A 24182-nucleotide genomic window follows, 5' to 3' on the forward strand; every position below is an offset into this window, starting at 1 on the left:
TCCTCTGCTTCCCCTCAAAAGAAAAAAGAGGTAGAGGAGGTAAGATAATAAAAGAGAGATTGGGGTGGGGAGTGGCAAATGGTAAAGATGGACTACTTTTTAGAAGCAGCAGTAAGCCTCAGCGTGCCTGGAAAGAGGCAGTTCTGCCGTGGCAGGGAGAGGAGATCAGGGAAAAACAGTGACAACTTTACTGCCCCCTTTTTTTTTTTTAAGATGAAGTCTCCGCTCTGTCACCCAGGCTGGAGTGCAGTGGCATGATCTTGGCTCACCGCAACCTCTGCCTCCTGGGTTCAAGCAATTCCTCTGCCTCAGCCTCCTGAGTAGCTGGGATTACAGACACACCACCATGCCCAACTAAGTTTTTTGTATTTTTGTAAGAGACAGGTTTTCACCATGATGGTCAGGCTGGTCCTGAACTCCTGGCCTCAAGTGATCCACTTCAACGTCCCAAAGTGCTGGGATTACAGGCGTGAGCCACCACACCCAGCCTACTCCTTTTGCTTTAACTCTTGTCTCCTTAATTGCTAGAAGGAAGGTTCATTAAGTCCCTAAGTAACTGGGGGGGCCTAATTGAGCCTACACCTAGTTTTCCAAATTCTTATTCTATCACCCTACCCAAATTCCATGTCTAGATGGTAGTAAAGGGAATGAAAGACATAGGGACATCAGCTTAGCTCCTTTTTGTTTGTTTGTTTGTTTGTTTGTTTGAGACAGGGCCTTGTTCTTGCCCAGGCTGGAGTGCAGTGGCACAACCATGGCTCACTGCAGTTTCAACCTCCCAGGCTCAAGTGATCTTCCCACTTCAGCCTCCTGAGTAGCTGAGACTACAGCAGGCACACATCACTGCACCTAGCTAATTAAAAAACAGGCCGGGCACAGTGGCTCATGCCTGTAATCCTGGCACCTTGGGAGGCTGAGGCGGGTAGATCACAAAGTCAGGAGTTAGAGACCAGCCTGACCAACATGGTGAAACCCCTGTCTCTACTAAAAACACAAAAATTAGCCGGGCATGGTGGCACGCGCCTGTAATCCCAGCTACTCAGGAGGCTGAGGCAGGAGAATTGCTTGAACTGAGAGACGGAGGTTGCAGTGAGCCAAGATTGTGCTCCCCTGCACTCCAGCCTGGGTGACAGAGTGAGACTCCAACCCAAAAAAAAAAAAAATTTGTAGAGATGGGGTTTCACCATGTTGCCCAGGCTGGTCTCAAACTCCTGGGCTCAAACAATCCTCCCACCTTGGCCTCCCAAAGTGCTGCGATTACAGGCGTCAGTCACCATGCCTAGCCTAAACTTTTTTTTTTTTTTGCTTTAACTTCAGATGGCCTCACCCCTTAGTGCCATCCAGTGATGAAGTCACCAGGTGGAGGTGGTGCTGGCTAAAACTCGAAGATTATTCCTTTACTCTGAGAATCTCCTCAACATCCACCATTCCTGCTATCTGGAACTCAAGTCATCAGCATACAGAACTACAATCAGAAAAAGAGTCAGCCCCACTGTAGGCCCCCAAATACTAAGGGACAAAATGTTGCATCTTCTGATTCTAAAGCCCATTCTCTTTCCACTATATCAATAACCCTCAAATTCATGCCAAATGTACATTAGTTTTTGTGTCTGGTACTTTCCTTCTTAGAGTGCTTGGGGAGGATGGTGGGAAGGAATGAAGAGGACAAGGACAGACTCGTCTGCCTCAATACATCCACATAGTGGACACCACTGTCTTTTGGGAAGCTTCCCCCTCTCTCAGGAGTACGTGAGTAAGTTGTTTCCCTGGCTACCTTCCTGGGGAACCAAAGTTTGCGGGGAAAGAACACATCAAAGTGCTTGTTGCAAAGAAGAACCTCCTCTTTATTCCACATATAGAAGCTGTGTTTCCAGAGCTGGGAAAGGGCTTCGACCTGGCCCTACCTCTGTGTGGGCCTAGAGATGAAGGTCTAGGGCCGGGCGTGGTGGCTCACACCTGTAATCCCAGCTACTTGGGAGGCTGAGGCATGAGATTTGCTTGAACCCGGGAGGCGGAGGTTGCGGTGAGCTGAGATCGTGTCATTGCACTCCAGCCTGGGCAATAAGAGTGAAACACCGTCTCAAAAAAAAAAAAAAGAGAGAGAGAGAGATGAAGGTCTAGATCCTGGTAATTAGGCCTTTCTCCAGTTGGCAATGAAAAGTCCCAGCCTCCAGTCAGTCCCAAATTAGAGAGTGGGAGCAACGGTGTGTGTCAGTGCCTTGGTGAGATGAAGATCAGCTTCAGGCAGGCTCTTCCAGGCAAGTTCTAAGATCCCATACCGGGCAATGCCCACGGGAAGGATGGTGCGCACACAGTTCTGCCATGGGAGGGGTACCGCACCCTGGAACTCCTGAGGACTTCTAGGAGTATGAGAACTGCCACAAAACAGGCAGCAGAACAGCCGTTCCCCGGGAACTAGCTCTGTGGCTTTTAGGGCCTCTTCGTAGATGATCTCTTGGGGTTGAGGTTCCTCTCTCATTAGCAGCTCCTGAAGCAGCTTCTGGATTCTGGGGGACTTAAGTTGGTACAGGTCCATGAGCTGGTAGAACTGTTCCATCCAAGCAGTGCTGTCTTTTGGATATCGCTGCTGCAGCATCCGCAAAACATGGTACAGTGCCACAAATGTCTCCCACAAAGGCAACTCTTCCTTTTTTTTAGAAATGGGCTGTGTCTTCTTCTCTAACTTGGGCAGTTTAGGAAACCTGCGTTTATCCTTAAAATCCCAGAAGTCCTTTTGAAACATCAGTGCCAGGGTTTGTTTTTCCACAGAGGCATGGGCACTTGGAAAAATGTCTCTGGTGGCAGGATAAAAGTATTGCATTTCCATCTCCTTGTGAGCAATGGATATCTGCTGTGCCCTCTCACTTCTGTAAGGTTCTCCTAGAAGATGCCAATTTTTAGCCCTTGGGTCTGGAATCCTCTTGGTAGCTAATGGGGACTTTTGTGTGGGGACAGCCAAAGGTTTTGGCCAGCTCTCCTTTTCCTTTGCTTTTATAGGAGGAATCACTTTCAGGTATTTTGGACTCATGGACTGTCTACTTGAGATCCTTGTGTCTTGTGACTCCAGGGCCTGTCTGTGACGGTACACAATGGCTTCATGTTTGGCCAGATGCAGCCATTCTAAGTTTCCCTTTGAGGCAAGGTCTTTGAGCAGCTGGCACAGTCTATGGAAACCATCCCTGGAAAGCTGTTCTCCCGCTTCCATTCGTTCTAGGACATGGCGGATCCACTCTACATCTGAGAGGCTTACGTCTGCATGTTGTTCCTTAGCTGGGATTTGGGAGAGAGGTAACTGTACCTCAGTCTGTCCCATCAGAGGTGGATGCTGCAAAAACCACTTCCACCAGGCACCTAGTGGTTTGTGTTGGAGTTCCTCAGCTTCCACGGTCCTCCTTAATATGTGGGACATAAATGGGGTCTTTAAGTCCTGTGCTTGGGACTCCAAAACTGTACCCAAAACATGTGGAGGTATGGGTTCATATTTTCCCATCACTTCTCTTTCTTTATCCATTGTCCCTAAGAATTTCCTGGGTATTTCAACTACTGTGGCCTTTTTATCTTCCCAGGATATTTGTTTCTCCGGCACTGGCACTGGTGTTTTCTCTTTCATCTCCAGAGCTGTTGACATCAGTTTCTTCAAAGGGCTTTTTAGAACTCCTAGTCTTATAGCCCTGCCTTTGCCATGAGGAACTCCTCTTAAAATGGAAAGGACTCTTTCCCTTCCTCTTAGGCTCTTTCTTCTTTGTTCTTGTAACTTAAATTGTTTTTCTTTTTTTAAGATCTCTTTTTCCCTGTCCACCTCTTCTTCCAATGAGCAGCTCTCCTCTTCCTCTTCCTCGTCACTCAAACTTTCTGTCTCTTCCTCACTCATAATTTCTTCTTTCTCCTCAAACACTTCTTCCTTCTCCTGAACCTCCTCCTTCTTCTTTTCCTTTTTCTTCTTCTTCTTCTCCTCCTCTTCTTTCTCCACTTGCTTCTCCTCCCCTTCCTCCTCCTCCTTCCTTTCCTCCTCCTCCTCCCTTTCCTCCTCCTCCTCCCTTTCCTCTTCTTCCTCCCTTTCCTCCTCCTCCTCAGAAGACAAACTCTCTTGCTTTTCTAGTTCATCTAACAGGCTTTCCATTTCTTCAGAAAAATGCTCTTCACTTTCCACTTCATCCACTTGACTGGAAAACTTTTCTTTTGGTTTGTCACCTCTCTTGGCCTCTTTCCTCTTTCTCCACCTTCGTTTAAGGAATGGGATTACCTCTTCTTCTTCTATTCCTCCTTCCTCTTCATCATCCAGTATGACTTCTGAATGCTTTCTGGCCAATTTGCTCTCTTCCTCAGTCATTTTTTCTTCTTTGTTTATCATTCTTCTCATTTTGTTGGCCAGTTTTCTCTGCTTCCGAGCCAGTTTCTTCTCATCTTTAGTCAGTTCTGATCGTTTTTCAGAAAAATCCCACTCTTTGATATCCAGCTTACTCTGTTCTATACTCAACCTGCGCTCCTTAACAAAGAGTGCCCTCTTCATCTTTGTCATTTTTATTTCTTCCTGTGTTAGTTTCCTTTCATCCCTGGTTAGTTTTTGAAGTGCCTTTAAGATTTTGTTCAGTTTTGCTGGTTCCTTGGAAAGGCTCTCCCTTTTTTTAATCAACTTCCTTGAAGCCTTGGCTAACTTTCTTTGCCCCTGGACAAATATTCTCTGTCCTCTAGTAAATTCCAGTTTTCCTTTGGCAATTTCGCTTTCCTCCATGGCCAATATCCTGTCTTCATGTAGCAGTATCTTCTCCTCTAGTGACAATTTTCTCTCAAATAGTTCTTGTTCAACTTGAGTCATTTTCCTTTGTCTAGAAGTTTCTGGAGTCTCTCCCTTAGACAGTGTTTCTTTTCCCTCAACCAGTCTCATCTTCTCCTCAGCCAGTCTTTTCATTTCCAGGTTCAATGCCTTTTCTTCCTTAGCAATATCCAACTCTCCTCTGAGCCGTTTCTTTCCTTGGACCATTGCCTTCTCCAGAGCTAATTTCATTTTTTCCTGGGCCAATTTCTCCTGTTTTTTGGCCAAACTATCCTCTACTTGGACCAATTTTTTCTCTGTTTCAGCCAGTTTCTCCTTCTTCTTGATCACAGTCTCCTTTTCCTGTGTCAGCTTCTCCTCTACCTGAGCCAGTATCTTGTTGAACATTCCCAATTTGTTCTTTACTTGCACTAATTGCTTTTTGCTGTGGGTGAGTCTTTCTTTATTATAGAGTAGGTTCTCTTTCCTCTGAGCCAATTTTTCCTTCTCCTGGGCCAGATTCTTCTTTTCCTGAGCCAGATTCTTCTTCTGGTACAGTATCATCTTGTTCTTTGTGAGTTCTTCCATGCTGTTGATCCATCTTTCCCTTTTTTGGGCCAGTTTCATCTTCTTCTCAATCAATTGCTCCCTTTTCCGTCCCAGTCTTTCCTCTTCCTCAGGCATTTTTTCCTTGTGCTGGGCCAGTTTCTCCTTTTCCTGGATCAGCAACTCTTCTTCCTGGGCCAGTTTTGTCTCTTCTTCAGACAGTTTCTCCCTTTGCCAGGCCAATGCCTCCTCTTCCTCAGCCAGTTTCTTCTTTTCCTCAACCAGTTTCCCCTCTTCCTGATTCAGTTCCTCTTCTTTCCAAGACAGTTCTTCCATGTCCCATTCCAGTTCCTCCAATTCCTGGGCCAGCTCCTTTTCTTGCCAGTCCAGATTTTGTTCCCTCTGGGGCAGTTCTTCCACTTTCTGGGCCAATATGTTTTTCACCTCAGCCAGTTTCCCTCCTTTCTTTGCTAGTTTCTCTTCTTCTCTAGCCACTTTCTCCCATTTCTTGGCCAGTTTCTTCCTTTTCTGGGCCAATTTCTCCGCCTCCTGGCTTAGCTTCTCCCCTCTTTGGGCCAGTGTTTCCTCTTTCTGGGCAAACTTACCCTCTGCCTGGGCCATTTCCCTGTCATCCTGGGTTATTTTCACGTATGCCTGGGCCAGTTTTCTCTCTTCCTGGGCCAACTGTCTCTCTTCTTGTGCAAGTTTCTCTTCTTCTTGTGCTAATTTCCTCTCTTCTTGGGCTCGTTTTTTTTCAGCTCGGGCTCGTTTCCTGTGTATTCTGGCCCATTTGTGTTCTTCTTGGATGTGTCTCTGCTCTTCTGTGACCTGCTGTTCTTTTTCTTCCCCCTCCCGAGACACTTCTTCCTCCAAAGTCACTTCTTCCTCATCCTTGTACTGTTGCTCCTTGGACTTAGATGATAACATATTTTCCCAGACTTGTTTCCACTCCTCCCATTTCAGCTTCTTGTCCTCCTGAAGCATTTCCTCCTCCGGGGATAGCTTCTCTCCAGCCTGATGTAGTTTCTCCTCTTCCTGAAGAAGCCTCTTCTCCCATTCTTCCTTCCATGCCTTCCAGGATTTCCTTGTCTCACCATGGACCTGTTTCCACTCATCCCAGGCCTTTTTCCAGTCCTGCCAAGATGGTGTCCTCTCAATCATAACCAGTTTTCCTTCTTGTTTGACCACTTTCTCCTCTAGTGTGGCCATTTCCTCCACTTCCTCACTCATATCCCTCTCTTCTTTGGTCATTTCCCTCTTTATTTTTCCTACTTTTCTTTCCTTCTGGACAGCTTTCCTCCCTTGCTTAGGTGACTTCTGAAAGGTTTTCTTCTCTTCTTTCTTTGATATTTCTTTTCCCATGGTTACATTACCTGGTTCTAAAAAAATAACTTTCTTGCCCTTTTTCAAAATCACTTGGGTTTCCTCCAAGCCCAGCATGTCTCTTGCTTTCTTTTGTGCTTGTTCTTCTTCCCTTGGCATCACTTCCTTGTGTCTGATCACCTCTTGGGTCACACCTTGTATCATGTCCTCTCTAATTGCTCCTTCCTGGATAAAAATTGGTTTCTTCTCTGGCGGGACTACATCCCAATCAAGGTCCTCAAGCAGAACCTTACTTTCTTTCTTCAATAGGGGGCAGATCTCCTGAAAGAGTTCCCAGCTGGGGTGCCTATCTACCAGCATCTCCTGAGCAAATGTCACTAGCTCAGCGTTTAGGTTTTCTGACATTTTTGTTTGGGAACCAGATATCCTCAGGGCCATAAGACGACATAGATCGTCCCTCCATGATGAGCCATCTCCAGCGGTTGACCTGCGGCCAGATATTCCAGAGGCTCCCCGCCCTTGGATTTTAACCTTTTTAGTAACTGGCTGTTCCATTACAGGAGGTGTAGTTTCCTCATTTATAACTTTGGCTTCTTTTCCCTTCTTTTTGTGCTTCTTTTTGAGTTTCTGAGCTGTTGCTTTCTTGTCTCTTTTGTCACGTATTTTCTGCAGCCTCTTCAGGGTCAATGCAATGTGATCCTTCGAGATATCTTTCTCTTGAGAATCAACATCTTTTGAGAGCTTTATTACACTGGTGCTTGAAGACCATTGGGAATAGACGGATGCTTCCTCCATCTCAATTGGTGCGGCCTCAGTCCCACTTTCATCCTCTAAGAGGCCTGGCTCTGTGCTCATCTGTTTAGAGTCTCTCTCTTTCGTCTTCTTGAGACCCCGCAACCATTTTTGGCCTGCAGTAAAAATCGAGAGATGGAGGTAAGCAAAGTATGGGAAGCGACATGAAACCCTTCCCAATATTAGGTGTGAGCTAAGAAGAACTGTCATATAAGAAGTAACAACAGAGAGAACTGAGGCCTTAAAAAAAAAAAGCATTCTCTTTGCTTTATTCCTAGCCCCCTACTCCTGCCAAATCCTAGAGAGCTAGGCCTTAGAGTCTTCCTGAGTTTGAGTGGATCCTTCCTTAGAAAGTCTTTTTTTTTCATTGCTTTCATAAAAATCAATTTTACTGAGGTATAATTTAAACAGGATATACCCATTTTAAGCAAACAGTTTGATGAGTTTGAAAAATGTATACACTTTTGTAATTACTGCAATCACAATCAGGATATAAGGCATTTCTATTATCCCCCTAAATTCCCTCCTATATAGTGTCCCAGTCAACATCTATCTACCCTTAACCTCTGGCCCTAGGCAACCACTGATCTGCTTTCTGTGACTGTAGATTCATTTGCCTTTTTTAGGATTCCAAATAAATAGAATCATTAAAAAATGTGCTCTTTTGTGTTTGCTTTCTTTCAATAGTTTTTGAGATTCTTCCATGTTGTTGCATGTATCACTCTTTTTTATCACAGTAGTATTTCAGTTTATGAATACACTATAATTTCCTTATCTATACATTTTTTTAAAAAATTATACTTTAAGTTCTGGGATACATGTGCAAAACGTGCAGGTTTGTTACATAGGTATACAGGTGCCATGGTGGTTTGCTGCACCCATCAACCCAGCATCATCTACATTAGGTATTTCTCCTAATGCTAGCCCTCCCTTAGTCCCTCACCCGAGAGTGTCTTTTCTATGATGAGATCTTTCCACTTATCTCTCTTCCCACCTGGTATCTCTCTTTTTTTTTTTTTTTGAGATGGAGTTTCGCTCTGTCACCCAGGCTGGAGTGCAGTGGCACCATCTCTGCTCATTGCAACCTCCACCTCCTGGGTTCAAGTGATTCTCCCACCTCAGCCTCCCAAATAGCTGGGATTACAGGCACCCACCATCATGCCTGGCTAATTTTTGTATTTTTAGTAGAGACGGGGTTTCACCATGTTGGCCGGGCTGGTCTCGAGCTCCTGACCTCAAGTGATCTGCCCACCTCAGCGTCCCAGTGCTGGAATTACAGGCATGAGCCATCATGTCCCGCCAGCCCACCTAGTATCTCTTGATCCACTTTAACCCTAACTACCCTGCCTCTTGGGGACCCTGAGGCACAGACCAGATTACCCCTTACATACTATGCTTTTTGACCCCTGCTTGGCCTCGTCTTTGGCCTTTGCTGGGCTTGATGGCCACTTCAGATTCTTCAGAAACTGTAGGAGGTTTCAGGGAGGATTTAAGTTCAGAAGGCATTGAGACATCTAAAGAAAAAGCCGGCTTTTCATCTCTATGTGACAGGGTCAGGTTTTCATTCAATCTCTGCTCCACTTGAGTGGAAAGGATTTGGAGATCTGTGGCCCGCATCCCCAGTAGATGGTCCAGGGGTTCCTCCCCGATCATCTGCTGCCTATGAAAGTCAAAGGAGAAGAAGGACTATGCTGAGTCAGGAACAAAAGGGAGAATGGGAAGCAAAAAACGGTTGTGGAACAGGCAGGAGGCTTGGCAAAGTGGCCAAGAGAGATGGCATATGCAGAGGAAAATAATGGCTGAGACAAAAGAAACTATCTAGGAAGCCAAGGTGGCAATGAATGGAGTGATCTGTATTGGAGGCTGTAGAAGCAGGAGAAAAGGATGAAAATGGAACTTGAAGAAGTAGCGGACACATAGGAAAAGCAATGGAGAAAGGAGTGAGCAGGCCAGGTATGGTGGCTCATGCCTGTACTCCTAGCACTTTGGGAAGCCAAGGTGGCAGGAAGATTTCTTGAGCCCAGGAGTTCGAGACCAGCCTGGGCAATATAGTGAGACTCTGTCTCTACAAACAATTAGCCAGTGTGGTGGTGCATGCTTGTAGCCCCAGCTACTCAGAAGGCTACGGCAGGAGGATTGCTTGAGCCTGGGAAGCAGAGGTTGTAGTGAGCCAAGATCGCGCCACTACACTCCAGCCTGGGCAACAGAGTAAGACCCTGTCTCAAAAAAAGAAGGAAGAGGAGGAGGAAGAGGAGTGAACAGTCGGGATTGTCAAGGATAGTCATCTAGGCGTGAGCAAAGGCTATGAGAAAGAAGAAACATCAGGGAGAATTAATGAACAGGGATGAAGAAATAGCAAAGGAAAGGAGGGGGAAAATGGCGAATGGGGTGAAGAATTGAAGGAAGCACAAACTTACTGCATCTCCCGAAAAGTCTCTTGTTTTTGGGTCAGCTGTAAGAGTGAGGTCCTAGAGTGGATTCCAATCTCAGCCATGAGGCTTAGGGTCTTGATCCTCACTCTTTCATCCTTGTCCATTAATCCTTGAGCCAGAGGCATGGCAAAAAGATGAGTAATCATTCCTAGACGCTTCAGCCCTTCCCAAGCTAGTTCTCGGATCAGCGGGTTGGAATTGGTTGTATCATTCAGTAGCCGACGGGCTGTCTCAGAGCGTAGGGCTGGGGACACCTGGTAAGAGGCAAAGATTTGCCCTAGTGCACCAACACAGCACTGGTACTTCAGCAAGGAAGCATGGACCATAATATTGAGCATTGTCTCAATCATGCTATTAATGGTTATTTCACTCATCTTTCTTCCCAGCCAACTTCGGTTTGCTCCATCTGTAAGGACACTGTAGGTTACATCCTTGGAAAGTCTCATTTCTAGGAAGTGTTCATCCTCCTCCTTATTCTTTGGATATTCTGTATTACTTATAGCTCTTACCCTGCTGTGCCAGAAAAAGAATTCTTGAGACCTGTCCCATTCCAGCTCCCGCTGGGGTGCATGCAGGTTGCACTGTAGGTATATTGGGGTGCCCTCTGGCCAAAGACGGGCACGAATCACTGAATTGGGGATATAGCAGTCAGGGGCAAAAAGCCATTCCCGCCCATGACCAAAGTAGTATCGCAATATCTGATAGGGGTTGAGTCCATCCCAGCTAGTCAGTTGTAGCTGGGGAGGAAGCACATAATGGCATTGGTAACGTTTGCTCACCTGCATCCAATCTTCCATGTCCTGCAAAGAATAATGCATGGAGGAACGCAGTAACACTGGGCTCCCTTCCTCATCTTCTTCTATCACATGTGGCACAGAATGGTCAAAGGCAATGGCCCGGTTGTTGACAAGTTTCTCCAGACCCACTAATTTCTGTTGCGCTTGTCCAGGGTAGATGTACTTGGGCACAAACATGGTCTCAAAGGAGAAGAAGAAGCTTGGTATGAAAGGCTTAGGGACTTCCAGTACTTCATCTGATATGCTCATAAAGGAAAGGCGAGTCAGCAGGGCTGGGGGAAGCAATTTTAAACAGGACACTAGGTAAAGACTCTGGTTAAAAGTCACAAGCAGGTCACCCCGGTCATTTGCAAAACAGACTGGGCCAAAGTGCAGTGATGAGTCCAGAATGCCTATGAGTCTGCCATGGAAGTCCCAGATCCGAACAGAGCCATCGGCAGAACCTGTGACAAAAAGACTCAAGGAGAGGCAGACATCAAAGGATGTGATGGCACACAGGTGCAGAGGCAGTGTTTCTATGAATTTCAAGCCATTCTGTGACCCAGAGGACAGAAAATCATGGAACTTCCAGAGACGCAGGCAGTTTGTCTCTGTGATGGCACCCACAGACTTGGGCAAGAGTATCAGATGTGTTAGGTGACAGCTGCTGAGAATGCTGGCGAGAGGCCGCAGTTGTACTTTGACCCCATCAAGCACAGCTTCTGACAGGTGCACATAGTCATCCATTCCATAGGAACAGAGCAGAGAGTTTCCTTGGCCACCAAAAATCCCTCCAGACAGCGTGGAGAGTGCCAGTACAGCGCCAAAGTGCATGAATTTTTCTAATCGAGCACAGCTGTGCTGGGAGAGCACTCTTATCACACCACTCTGGTGCCCAGAGAATATCAGTCCCTCTAGACCCCGCCCCAAGTTGAAATGCCCATAAGCCAGGCATTGTACAAAGTCCTGAGAATTTGGTGAGGTGCCTAAGAGATACTTGGCTGGGCAAGGGCAGCGGGTTGTGTCAAATACCAGAACCTCTGAGCTGCCTGTTGCTACAAAGAGCTCCTCTTTACCTGGGTCGTAGGCCCAATCCACAGCCTGGTCCAGGATTGAGAAGGGCCAGGTGATAACCAGAAGGTCCCCTGTTACTGGGGACACAAAGCGCAACAAGCCATCCTCAGTGGTACACAGGATCCGGAACCAGTTATTTCCACAGCAGACCCGACGCAACTGCTGGGGAGCAGAGCCACAGACATTGAAGAGGCTGTAGAAGCAGGGCAGGCGGTGCAAGGAAAAACTATGGGCAGTTTGGCAGAAGAAAGTAATGCTGTCAATAAACTGGAGCCGGTATAGCTCCTCACCAAGCTCTAGCCGCCGAAGCAGGCTCCCTGAAGTCAGGTTCCACTCCTTGATTAGGCTGTCACTACCAGCTGTTAGCAGGGTGTGGGCCTCTGGTCGGCTGCGGATACAGATCACTCCTGATTGATGGGCCTGGAAACTGTGGAGTGGATGGCCCTGCTGGAGGCTCCAAACTTGGATTTCCCCAGCTTGGTTTCCAGCATAGAGAAAGCCCTGATCAAAACAGGTGAAGCAGCAGGTGATGGAGGAGCCGCTGCTGGTGGACGTGAACCTCTTTACCTCTCCCAGCTGGCCCTTGCCCTGGTGCATAAGGACCCTCACCACCGTCTCACACAGGGCCAGGAGGGAGCCACTGGGACCATTCAGCACGATGTCCTGGACAAGCTCATCACCTGGCATGGAGACCATGTGGGCTATTTGGAGGCCCGTGCCACCTAGCTCAATGACCCAGGTCACCACTGCCCCCAGGATGCCAGACAGAAGCATCTTCATTTCCGGGTCATAGCAGAGGCAGCTGATGTTGAAGCGGCAGGGCACTTTACCCAGGGGTTTGAATGCCCGAAAGTGGTCCCCAAAGAGTCGCAGGATCAGGTCACCACAGTAGACCACGAGGATATGAAAGGAGCCTGCATGGACCATGGACTGGATGGGTGGCAATCGTTCAGTCATGGAGAATGTTCTTTTCTCAACCATGTCCTCAGTTTTGCTCTTCATCCATGCTACAGCCTAGAAGAGAATAAGAAGGAAACTGCCTAGGCCGGGTGAGGTGGTTCATGCCTGTAATCCCAGCACTTTGGGAGGCCGAGGCGGGTGGATCACCTGAGGTCAGGAGTTCGAGAGCAGCCTGGCCAACATGGTGAAACCCCATCTCTACTAAAAATACAAAAATTAGCTGGGTGTGGTGTCGGTGCCTGTAATCCCAGCTACTCGAGAGGCTGAGGCAGGAGAATCGCTTGAATTTGGGAGGCAAAGGCTGCAGTGAGCCAAGATTGCGCCACTGCACTCCAGCCTGCGTGACAGAGCGAGACTCTGTCTCAAAAAAAAAAAAAAAAAAAAAAGATGAAACTGCCTAGAGCTGATGGTAGGGCAGAATATTCCCTTATTTCCCCATGTTTTATGTTAAGGAGGAATTGGAGGACTCAAGTGATTTTATCCCTTGGTGATGGGAATTGGAAATACGGTAGAGGCAGGAATCCTAGGACCCTTTTCCTAACCTTGGTTTACTTCGGGGGAACCATACAACCTACTCAACATGGGGACTATAATTGGAGAAAGGATGAGGAGAGATTTCTGGTTCCAGACCACATTCATCCATGGGGAATATCCTCCTTTGTCAATCTGGGCTAACAGTTATATGGGCATGGCTCTTGGAGAATGGGCCAAGAAGGGTAAGAAAGGCAGTCTTACTTGTATTTCTTTTGTGTTTGATGTCACCCAAGAGAGGGAGGCGAAGAAGTGGGCATCACTGAAGTAATAGCATACACACGGCATATTTTGAGGATAGCGAGACTCTTTGAACAGTACCTGGGACCGGTCACTCAGCACAATCAGGCAGTTCTTTGGGTCTTCCGAAGGTTGCTGGAGAGAGGCGTGGCATAAACTAAGAGGCCAGGGCACAGAGGCACTAAATATATTCTCGCACAAGTCACAGTTGGAGCAGTTCCCAAAGTCATGCTTCCCACCCGAAGGACCTACTCCTGTTACACTCACACGTGCATAACTTATCACCTGTGGCACAGCTATACTTCACAAGCATGTAACAAATCCCCCAATGCATGAGGGAACACAACCCTGCAGAGTCTCTGTGTGCAAATTTCATAGTGTGAACACAGGGAAAAATGATGTTCTTTTCAACATGAAGTTAGCCATGCCTGCCCTCTAACATTCTTTTTTTTGTTTTGTTTTTTAGATGGAGTCTCTTTCTGTTGCCCAGGCTGGAATGCAGTAGCGTGATCTCAGCTCACTGCAACCTCTACCTCCCAGGTTCAAGCGATTCTCCTGCTTCAGCCTCTCAAGTAGCTGGGACTACAGGCACATGCCACCAGGCCCTGCTAATTTTTTGTATTTTTAGTGGAGATGGAGTTTCACCATGTTGGCCACGCTGGTCTTGAACTCCAGACCTCAGGTAATCCGCCCGCCTCGGCCTCCCAAAGTGCTGGGATTACAGGCATGAGCTACTGAGTCCAGCCCCCTCTAACATTCTCGCTTGTGTGTAGAAGGTACATGTACCATAAAAGACACAATATTTAACAGAATAGTCAGGCAAGTACATCACCTTACGCACACATGGAATATAGCGGAATCTCCCAAAGTCAGTGCAGCTCTAAGTTACTGAAGCTTAAAGCTGCACTAAGTGAGACTCTTGGGACACCCTATCTGGCCTTTAAATTTGACAGAGGACAAGCATTTATACAATATATATATTATCCCATGGTGATAGACCATGTGCTATGAAACATGCATCTGGGATCCTGTTTTTTTTTTTTTTTTTTTTGAGACAAGATCTCACTCTGTGGCCCCATGCTGCAGTGCAGTGGCCTGATTTCGGCTCATTGCAACCTTTGCCTCCTGGGTTCCAAGTGATTCTCCTGCCTCAGCCTCCCGAGTAGCTGAAACTACAGGCACGGGCTACCACACCCGGCTAATACTTTGTATTTTTAGTAGAGACGGGATTTCACCATGTTGCCCAGTGTGGTCTTGAACTCCCGAGCTCAGGTGATCTGCCTACCTCGCCCTGGCAAAGTGCTGACATTACAGGCATAAGCCACCACGCCTGGCCCTGGGATCCTTGTATGCAGAGCCAACCATAGCAAAACTGAGCTTGGCAACTGTTTTCTCTGGTGCCTCCTCCCCTGTTTTAAAAAATCTCTCAGCCAGGCACAGTGGCTCATGCCTGTGATCCCAGCACTTTGGGAGGCCGAGGTGGGCAGATTACTTGAGCTCAGGAGTTCACGACCAGCTTGGGCAACATGGTGAAACCCCATCTCTACTAAAAATACAAAAAATTAGCTGGGCGTGGTGGCGTGCGCCTGTAGTTTCAGCTACTTGGGAGGCAGCTGAGGCAGGAGAATTGCTTGAACCTGGGAGGCTGAGGTTGCAGTGGGCCGAGATCATGCCACTGCACTCCAGCCTGGGCGACAGAACGAGACTGTGTCTCAAAATAAATAAAATAAAATAATAGAAAAACTCTCTTTCCAGAAGGTCAGTTCCTCTTACAATCCTCCAGAGTGTCCACTTTCCACTATCAAAATGTCCTTGCGAGAAGTCTGTGACTCATGGAAATTGATGGCCTACCTCCTGCTAAGGTGGTGACTATAGTATACCCTGTTTGCTTCCTGTTCTCAAGGACAATCTGTGGCTCTTCTGAAATGCTCATGACTGTAAGACAGGTAGCAGCCAACCTATAATATGTTTATGTCCTACATATACATTACCTTGCTTTTATTTATGGTGTCATTTAGGAGGAGTTTTAAATCTTTCCACAGGGGAATGAGCCTGGGGGAAGACATCACCGTCAGACTCCCTTGGCCCTCCTGAGGACTGTTGCTTAAAAACCTGTGGGAATCCAAAAGAGCCCAGCTTAGTCACTGCCATTTTCCGAGAAGCTAGGAATCAGAAAGCAACAACAATGAACTCATGTTTATTGAACACCTTCTGAAAGTCAGGAACTGTGCACAAGACATACCTTCTCATTTCATCCACTCTACAGCCCAGTAAGGTAGGCATTATCTCATTTTATAGATGAGAAAACTGAGGCTTGGAGAGAGCAAATTGGGAGTGAATCTTAGCGTGTTCCTGTCGTAACCCAGTAACATATATGGGTGAGAGAACCAGAGAAACCGAGAGAGGGGCTGGGAAAGAATACCCTCACAGGCAAATAATAGTCCTTCACATTTTGTGGTGTGTCCGGAGAGCATTTTGTGAAGACTGTGGGTTCTCAAAGTATGGTCCCTGGACCTCATGAACCAGGACAGACACTTAACGACTGTAAGTGACAGACACTTACGACTGCTGTTTGTAGGCTGGCCTAGTTCTCAGACAGGTGACCACTCTATTTCCTTCCAACTCATACTTCATGCTTTTCAGCTGCTCTGGAAACATGACAGTTAAATTTATAGTCTGGCCAGCAGAGGGCAACGGAGGCCAACCTTTCCTGCCAGATGTAGAAGAACTTCATCCGTTTAGAGAAATGGTGGGAAGTTGTTAAAAATGCAAATTATTGGGCCCCACCCCAGACCTACTCAATTGGAAATTCTGAGATTAAGGCCCATCAATGAATAATTGTTGTTGCTGCCCATCAATCTGAGATTAAGGCCCATCAATCTGAGATTAAGGCCCATCAATGAGTTGTTGTTGTGTTGTTTTGTTTTGTTTTGTTTTGTTTTGTTTTTAAGAGATAGGGTTTTGGCTGGGCACCGTGGCTCACGCCTGCAATCCCAGCCCTTTGGGAGGCGGAGGAGGATAGATCACCTGAGGTCAAGAGTTCGAGACTAGCCTGGCTAATATGGTGAAACCCCGTCTCTACTAAAAATACAAAAATTAGCTGGGCGTTGTGGCACGCCCCTGTAATCCCAGCTACTCTGGAGGCTGAGGCAGGAGAATCACTTGAACCCAGGAGGCAGAGGCTGCAGTAAACCGAGATTATACCACTACACTCCAGCCTGGGAAAGAGTGAGACTCAGTCTCAAAAAAAAAAAAAAAAAAAAGGAAAAAAAAAGAAAAAAAAGAGACAAGGCTTTGCTCTGTTTCCCAGGCTGTAGTGCAGTGGTACCATCATAGCTCACTGCAGCTTTGAACTCCAGAGCTCAAGTGATCCTCCCACTTCAGCCTCCCACATGCTAGGACTACAGGCATATGCCACCACACCTGGCTAATTTTTGTTTCTTTGTTTTGTTTTTGTAGAGACAGGGTCTCACTATGTTGCCCAGGCTGGCCTTGAGCTCCTGGTCACAAGTGATCCTCCTACCTTGGCCTCCCCAAATGCTGGGATTTCGGGCATGAGCCACCACACCTGGCCTATTTTGTTTTTTTGTTTCAATTTTTGTAGAGATGGGAGTGGGGGTGGGGTAGGGATGAGGGGGTGTCACTATGCTGTCCAGGCTGGTCTCTAACTCCTGGCCTCAAGCTTTGGCTTCCCAAAGACTTGGCTTCCCAAAGTGCTGGCATTACAGGCATGAACCGTTGCACCTTGCTTCAACAATAACCAAAATGTGAAAAACACTGGTTTAGAGAACTGTTGGAGTCCCAATTCATTTGGCCTGGGCTTCCTGAAGCAAGGTCAGCAAAACACACCTTCTGGTATGCCACAGAGACTTGCTCACTGGATTTGGGATGGGGGAAAGCAGCAGGCAAAACTTACCATCATCATCTCACATGCATACAGTGGGTGAGAGCCCACAGAAAAGCTTTCAACATCAATCATTTCATTAGTTCTTGAAAGAATCCTGAGAGGCAGATATCATCATCTCCATTGTACAAAAGAGGAACATTAACTCAAAGAGGAAAAGGGATGTGTTTGAGTCTACAAAGGGCAGATCAAGACTAAGATCCACCAGGTGCAGTGGCTCATGCCTGTAATCCCAGCACTTTAAGAGGCCGAGGTGGGTGGATCACGAGGTCAGGAGTTCAAGAACCAGCCTGGCCAACATGGTGAAACCCTGTCTCTACTAAAAATACAAAAATTAGCCGGGCACGGTGATGGGCGCCTGTAACTCCAGCTACTCGGGAGGCTGAGGCAGGAGAATCGCTTCAACATGGGAGACAGAGGTTGCAGCAAGCCGAGATCACGCCACTGCACTCTAGCCTCAGTGACAGAGCAAGACTCCGTCTCAAAAAAAAAAAAAAAAAAAGACCCAATCCACAGTTCAGGATTCTTCTACTATATCAGAGGAGGAAGAGGTTTTGCTGGCTGATGCTCAGAAGGCTCTCCGATCCACAAATCCACTCACAATGGGAACTTGGGACTGGCTGGCAGCACACACCATCCTGTCTCTTTCCACGCTCCCCAGACTGCATGCTGCCCTCCTGCGATAGCTGTCTCCATTCTGTTCCACTCAACCCTGCACTTGCTGCTCATTCTGAATGCCTTTCAGGCTCTAGTTGATCTGCTTCAGATCCTGCACAGCAGTGGAGGCCCCTGTGGGAGTTACCCCAGGCCAAAGTGGGAGGCTCACTCGCTTTCAGCCAGAAGTTCAAGGCCAGCCTGGGCAACATAGTGGGACCCTGTCTCTACAAAAAAAAAAAAAAAAAAAAAAAAAAATTAGCCAGGCGTGGTGGCATGTGCCTGTGGTCCTAGCTATTTGGGAGGCTGAGATGGGAGGATCACTTGAGCTCAGGAGGTTGAGGCTGCAGTCAGCTATGATGGCCCCACTGCATGCCAGCCTGGGTGACAGAGCAAAATCCTGTCTTAAAAAAAAAAAAGGCCAGGTGCGGTGGCTCACGCCTGTAATCCCAGCACTTTGGGAGGCTGAGGTGGGTGGATCATGAGGTCAGGAGTTCAAAACCAGCTTGGCCAACATGGTAAAACCCTGTCTCTACTAAAAATACAAAAATTAGCCAGGCATGGTGGCGGGCGCCTGTAATCCCAGCTACTCAGGAGCCTGAGGCAGAGAATTGCTTTGAACCCAGGAGGCGGAAGTTGCAGTGAGCCGAGATTGCAGCACTGCATTCCAGCCTGGGTGATAGGGCGAGACTCCATCTCAAAAACAAAACAAAACAACACCAAAAAACCCAAACAACAACCACAACTCAGAGTTACCCCACTGGCCCCTTCTTGTGGCCCTGGAGCTGCTGAGAGAGTAGTCGTTTGTAACAAATTTGCAGTCACTGCCATCACTTCCCATATTCCAAATAGCTCCACTGGGTCCCACTTCTCTTGACCGGCCTACAGAGAGCAAATGGTTGGGACTATTTGGGGGAATATTTCTAGGTGATGAGTGAGAAGGAGGACTTTCAAACCCCAAATCTCTATGTTTATTTAATTTTATGTGGTTTTTTTTTTTGAGACAGGGTCTCGCTCTGTTGCCCGGGCTGGAGTGCAGTAGTAGAGTCACAGTTCACTGCAGCCTCAAACCCCTGGGCTCAAGCAATCCTCCTGCCTCAGCCTACCGAGTAACTGGGACCACAGGCACACACCCCCATGCCTGGCTAATTTTTTAAAAACTTTTTGTAGATACAGGGTCTCCCTATGTTGCTTAGGTGGTCTCGAACTCCTGGGCTCAAGCGATCCACCTGCCTCAGCCTCCCAAAGTGCTGGGATTACAGGTATGAGACACTGCACCTGGCCCTCTATGTTTATTTATTTATTTATTTATTTATTTATTTATTTGCCACTCTTTCCCACACCATAGACCAGTTTCCTTGGGTTAGCCTCAGAGGATGACATTTGACTCCCTAATCCCAGTACCTGTCCTTAAAAGCAAGTTTGTAGTGAGCTCCAGATGCTTTAATCCCAACAGTCTTGTTTAATATCTTTTATTTCTTTTTCCTTTTTTATTTTTTTTGAGACAGAGTCTCACTCTGTCACCCAGGCTGGAGTGCCGTGGCACTATCTTGGCTCACTGCAACCCCTGCCTCTGGAGTTCAAGTGATTCTCCTGCCTCAGCCTCCTGAGTAGCTGGGATTACAGGCATGCACCACCATGCCCAGCTAATTTTGTATTTTTTTTTAGTAGAGATGGGGTTTTACCATGTTGGCCAGGCTGGTCTCGAACTTCTGACCTCAGGTCATCTGCCCGCCTCAGCCTCCCAAAGTGCTGGGATTACAGGCGTGAGCCACCATGCCCGGCTGATTGTTTAATATCTTAACACAAAGATAATCTAATGGGAGAATTCAAGCTCTGTGGCCAATTTAGCGTGAAGGGTATTTGGGACCAACGCATGTTATTCCTGCTGACTGTGGAGACAAACCAGGTCCATGACTGGGTGTTGACACTGGAACTATATTCCTTTTCTTAGCACCAGTCCACTGTAAGGTACAGCATTAGTTGGTGGCCTGAGGAAAGGCAAACCTCCCACGAGCTTTGCCTTGTTAAAGAGAGTTGACTCTAGGGGGCGCTGCACTCCACGACACGGTCAGGCCCCTGGGCTCCCTTTGGCTCACTTGTTGGCTCCAATGTGCTCTGTTACAGGTGAGTGTGAGGGGATCCAGGCAGGTTTCTTGCTCCCTAGAGCTTATAGTCATCAAAGAAGAGATATAAAATGGATTACAGTGGGAAATTCTAGGTGATGGGTTATATTATCCTTTAGAACTTTTCTGCAACTTTTAATTTCCTCAAATTAAATTGCAAATTAAATTCAGTTTTAAGAAGGAAAAGTATGAAGTGCTTTGAGTACATATAACGAGGAGACCTGGCCACCCAAAAGGAAGGTGATGAGTGCGCCACACTGTGAGACAGGGCCCTGCATGGATTATATAACCTTGCAGGTGGTCTCACATTTGGGCACAGGGGTGCAGAAAGTCCAGCTGATATCAGAAGGGCCTAATTAGTTGACTGTAAAGTCAGAGGGGCAACCTAGGCTTACTTGGTTCTTTGAATGACATTACTGATAAGGAGCCCAAGTTTGTCCCCAGGGCCTGGGAGTGCTACTCTGGCCTTCAGGTGGCTGCATAGCTAGGGCTGGGGGTGGAATGCATTTAACTTTCTTAATGGGAATAAATAGTTTTCCAGGCTGACAAACATACATTAACAGGGTGGGCTAGTTTCTGTTGGATGGAAGAGTTACCCTGGATCCCTGAGAAGTAACGACAGTATCCAGGATTAATTAGGTTGTAAAGTAGTAACCAGGAGTTTTACATATCTTTTAATTCTTATTTATTTTGAGACAGGGCCTCACTCTCACCCAGGCTGGAGTGCAGTGGCATGATCATGGCTCACTGCAGCCTCAACCACTCCGGCTCAAGTGATCCTTCTGCCTTAGCCTCCTGAGTAGTTGGGACTACAGGCTAGTGCTACCACACCTGGCTAATTTTTGTACTTTTTGTAGAGATGGGGTTTCACCATGTTGCCCAGGCTGGTCTCAAACTCCTGGCCTCAAAGAATCCACTTGCCTCAGCCTCCCAAAGTGTTGGGATTACTACAGGTGTCAGCCACCACACCCAGCCAATTTGGTTTAATTCTTACAATTATTCTAACGACTTAGCTATTATCCTCCCTGTAATTAAACAACCTTTTTTGTTTTTTGTTTTGTTTTGTTTTGAGTCGGAGTCTCACTCTGTCGCCCAGGCTAGAGTGCAGTGGCGCCATCTCCGCTCACTACAAGCTCCGCCTCCCAGGTTCACGCCGTTTTCCTGCCTCAGCCTCCCGAGTAGCTACAGGCGCCCGCCACCATGCCTGGCTAATTTTTTGTATTTTTAATAGAGACGGGGTTTCACCATGTTAGCCTCGATGGTCTCAATCTCGTGACCTCGTGATCCACCCGCCTCGGCCTCCCAAAGTGGTGGGATTACAGGCATGAGCCACTGCGCCCGGCCATTAAACAACTTTTAAAAACGGACATGGTAAAATATTGAAAATGTACTAAGGAGCAGGTAAGGGAAAAAAAGTCACCTTTTCACACCTGACCAGCTGTCCTTCTGTTTCCCCTTCCCAGAAGTAACTCTGGTTGTGTCTTTCTTTTGTGTGTGTGTGTGCTTTTTTTTTTTTTTTGAGATGGAGTCTCTGTCTGTCGCCCAGGCTGGAGTGCAGTGGCGCGATCTTGGCTCACTGCAACTTCTGCCTCCTGAGTTCAAGTGATTCTTGAGCCTCAGCCTCCCTAGTAGCTGGGATTACAGGCGTGCGCCACCACACCCAGCGAATTTTTTGTATTTTTAGCAGAGATGTGGTTTCGCCATTTTGGCCAGGCTGGTCTCAAACTCCTGACCTCAAGTGATCCGCCCACCTCCCAAAGTGCTGGGATTACAGGCGTGAGCCACTGTGCCTGGCCAAAAATATTTTTCTTATGCAAGTGATAGTATACTATATACACTGTTATTCACTTTTCTCTTAATATACCTTTAAGACTAATTCATATTAATACATATAACTCATTTCCCAACAGTTACTAGCTGCAGGGTATTCCACCGTGTGGCTGAACTATCATTTATTTATTCAAATTTCTATTAATGGACATTCGGTAGTTTCCAACCTTTTGCTACTGCAGCTAATGCCGCAAATGAGTATCTTTGTTAGTGCCTCATAACATTTTAATTTTATTTGATTTTAATTAACTTAAATTGTAGAACTGAGGCCAGGCATGGTGGCTCACGCCTGTAATCCCAGCATTTTGGGAGGCCGAGGCTGGCAGATCACGTCAGGAGATCGAGACCATCCTGGCTAACATGGTGAAACCCAGTCTCTACTAAAAATACAAAAATTAGCTGGGTGTGATGGCGCCTGCCTGTAATCCCAGCTACTTGGGAGGCTGAGGCAGGAGAGTCACTTGAACCAGGGAGTCAGAGGTTGCAGGGAGCCGAGGTGGCGCCACTGCACTCCAGCCTGGCGACAGAGTGGGACTCCGTCTCCAAAAAAAAAAAAAAAAAAAGTAGAACTGAAGCAATGAAAACATTTTTCCATTAACCTAACTTGGAATAATATTTTGGATATATTTGGGTTAAATAAAATATTAAAATTAATTTCATAGCTGGGTGAGATGGCTCACGCCTATAATCCCAGCACTTTGCGAGGCTGAGGTAGGAACATGTCTTGAGGCCAGGAGTTCAATACCAGCCTGGGCAACATAGCAAGAAAAAAAAAAGTAAATAATAATGATAAATAAAATGAATTTTACCTGTTTATGTCAAAATTAAAATTGCATATGTGGCTTGCATTACACATAAAAACACACACATATATAATTTTTTTTTTTTTTAAAGAGACAGGGTTCTGCTTTGTCGCCCAAGCTGGAGGGCAGTGGTGCAATCATGGTTCACTGCAGTCTCAAACTCCTGGGCTTAAGCGATACTCAGCCTCTTAAATAGCTGGGACTATGGCCACATGCCACCACGCCTAGCTAGTTTTTTAGTTTTAGTAGAGATAGGGTCTTGCTATGTTACCCGGCCAGTCTCCAACTCCTGGCCTTAAGTGATCCTCCTGCCTCGGTGGCTCAAAGTGCAGGGTATATTTCTCTTAGCTAGTATTGCTCTACATTGTTGTAGTCTGGTGGTGGCCTGATATCCCTACTGGACTGAAAACTCCCTGAAGGTAGGAGTCCAGTCTGTCTGGATTTCTCTTGTGTCTCCATAATCACCCAACCTGACATGGAATAGGTGGTTAATCCATTTTTGTTGAATGAGTGGAAAAATGTGCTCTCCCAGGAAGAAACATATGCTTCCCAGCTTCAAGTGTTAGTGAACATCTTCCTAGAAGGCAGGCTGAGGCGGAAAGGGTATTGACTCCGGCTTCTCCACCAGAGGACCTTGCAATTCCAGTCAATTCCCTCGGTAACTCTTATGGAGGAGTGGCAATATACCTTAAAAAAGGAGTGTGTGTTGCGGGGTATTCCGCTGCTTGGTTATGTCACCAGGTGGATTAAATTTGGACAAAATTTCCCAAGGTGTAGGTACTCTACAAACACTAGTTACCCTCAGGAATGTGCGATCAACAAAAGAATGCAAGATAACAAGGCCCCTAGGCAGCCCCTGGGTCTTGTGGCTCCCGTCGAAGGCAGAGCTCTGGAGCCGCCTACGCCGGGGACAGGCGACTACACCTGGGGCCCCTCACCCTCGGGCCTCCTGCACGTGGCAGGGAAGGCAGGGCGTCTCTATCTCAAAGCATTGGCTGCGCCTGTTACCTGCGACAGGATTCCCGACAAGGGACGGGTACGGCGTGTGCACTCAGGAGCTCCTAGAGCTAGGGGCAGCAACTAAGAAGCTACCTGGCGGATGTTGCGAGAGGACTCCGCCCACAGAACGGTTGGCCCCCAACCCCGCAGCCGGCGGACTTCCCGAGGCCAGGGGTCTGAACGCGCGTGCGCATGGGCGCGCGCCCGGCGCGAGAACGCGCGCGCGCTCTCGAAAGAAAAAAAAAAAAAATCCTCTCCGCGGGGTCCCGCGGCAATTTAGGCCGGGGTCTGCCGACGACCGCGCGTGCGCGGGCGTGCATCTACGCCCTCCTCCACCGCCCCCTCCGCTGGGGGTCTAGCGCACTGCTCCGCTTCCCCCGTTTCCCCCGGGCTAGCGTCCTAGGGGTAAGTGACTCGAGCCTGGCAGAGAGTGAGGGAG

At 47.4% G+C, this 24182-nt stretch overlaps 1 protein-coding gene and 2 long non-coding RNA genes across 7 annotated transcripts in view; 2 read left to right on the forward strand and 1 right to left on the reverse strand.

Annotated features, from left to right (window-relative positions):
- LOC105372395 (uncharacterized) overlaps window positions 1-13927 on the forward strand; it is a 40910-nt gene extending 26983 nt beyond the window's left edge. Inside the window, exons 4-5 of one of the 2 annotated variants that reach the window (XR_935962.3) lie at window positions 1630-1753; window positions 13894-13927. This is a non-coding gene — a long non-coding RNA (uncharacterized LOC105372395). Of the gene's footprint in view, window positions 1-1317; window positions 1754-13893 lie in introns of both variants that reach the window. The other variant, XR_935961.2, reaches the window with a different exon arrangement.
- Window positions 2077-23951, reverse strand: WDR87 (WD repeat domain 87). 4 transcript variants are annotated; one of them, XM_047439499.1, is made up of 6 exons: window positions 23837-23951; window positions 15419-15539; window positions 13509-13562; window positions 9832-12710; window positions 8806-9074; window positions 2077-7530 (listed from the first exon to the last, which is right to left on the reverse strand). In XM_047439499.1, the coding sequence occupies exons 1-6, from the start codon at window positions 23935-23937 to the stop codon at window positions 2186-2188; spliced, it is 8769 nt and encodes a 2922-aa protein (XP_047295455.1). In that variant the 5' UTR covers window positions 23938-23951; the 3' UTR covers window positions 2077-2185. The 4 variants fall into 4 exon arrangements, with proteins under 4 accessions (XP_047295455.1, XP_011525662.2, NP_114157.4 ...); XM_011527360.3 differs by having other exon boundaries at window positions 13392-13562; NM_031951.5 differs by having other exon boundaries at window positions 23753-23848.
- On the forward strand, window positions 14082-16333 carry LOC107985301 (uncharacterized). The gene is made up of 3 exons (XR_001753935.2): window positions 14082-14109; window positions 15183-15373; window positions 15470-16333. It is a non-coding gene; the product is annotated as an uncharacterized LOC107985301 (long non-coding RNA).

The sequence above is a fragment of the Homo sapiens genome, chromosome 19 (genome assembly GCF_000001405.40).
Source record: "Homo sapiens chromosome 19, GRCh38.p14 Primary Assembly".
Taxonomy (NCBI): Eukaryota; Metazoa; Chordata; class Mammalia; order Primates; family Hominidae; genus Homo; species Homo sapiens.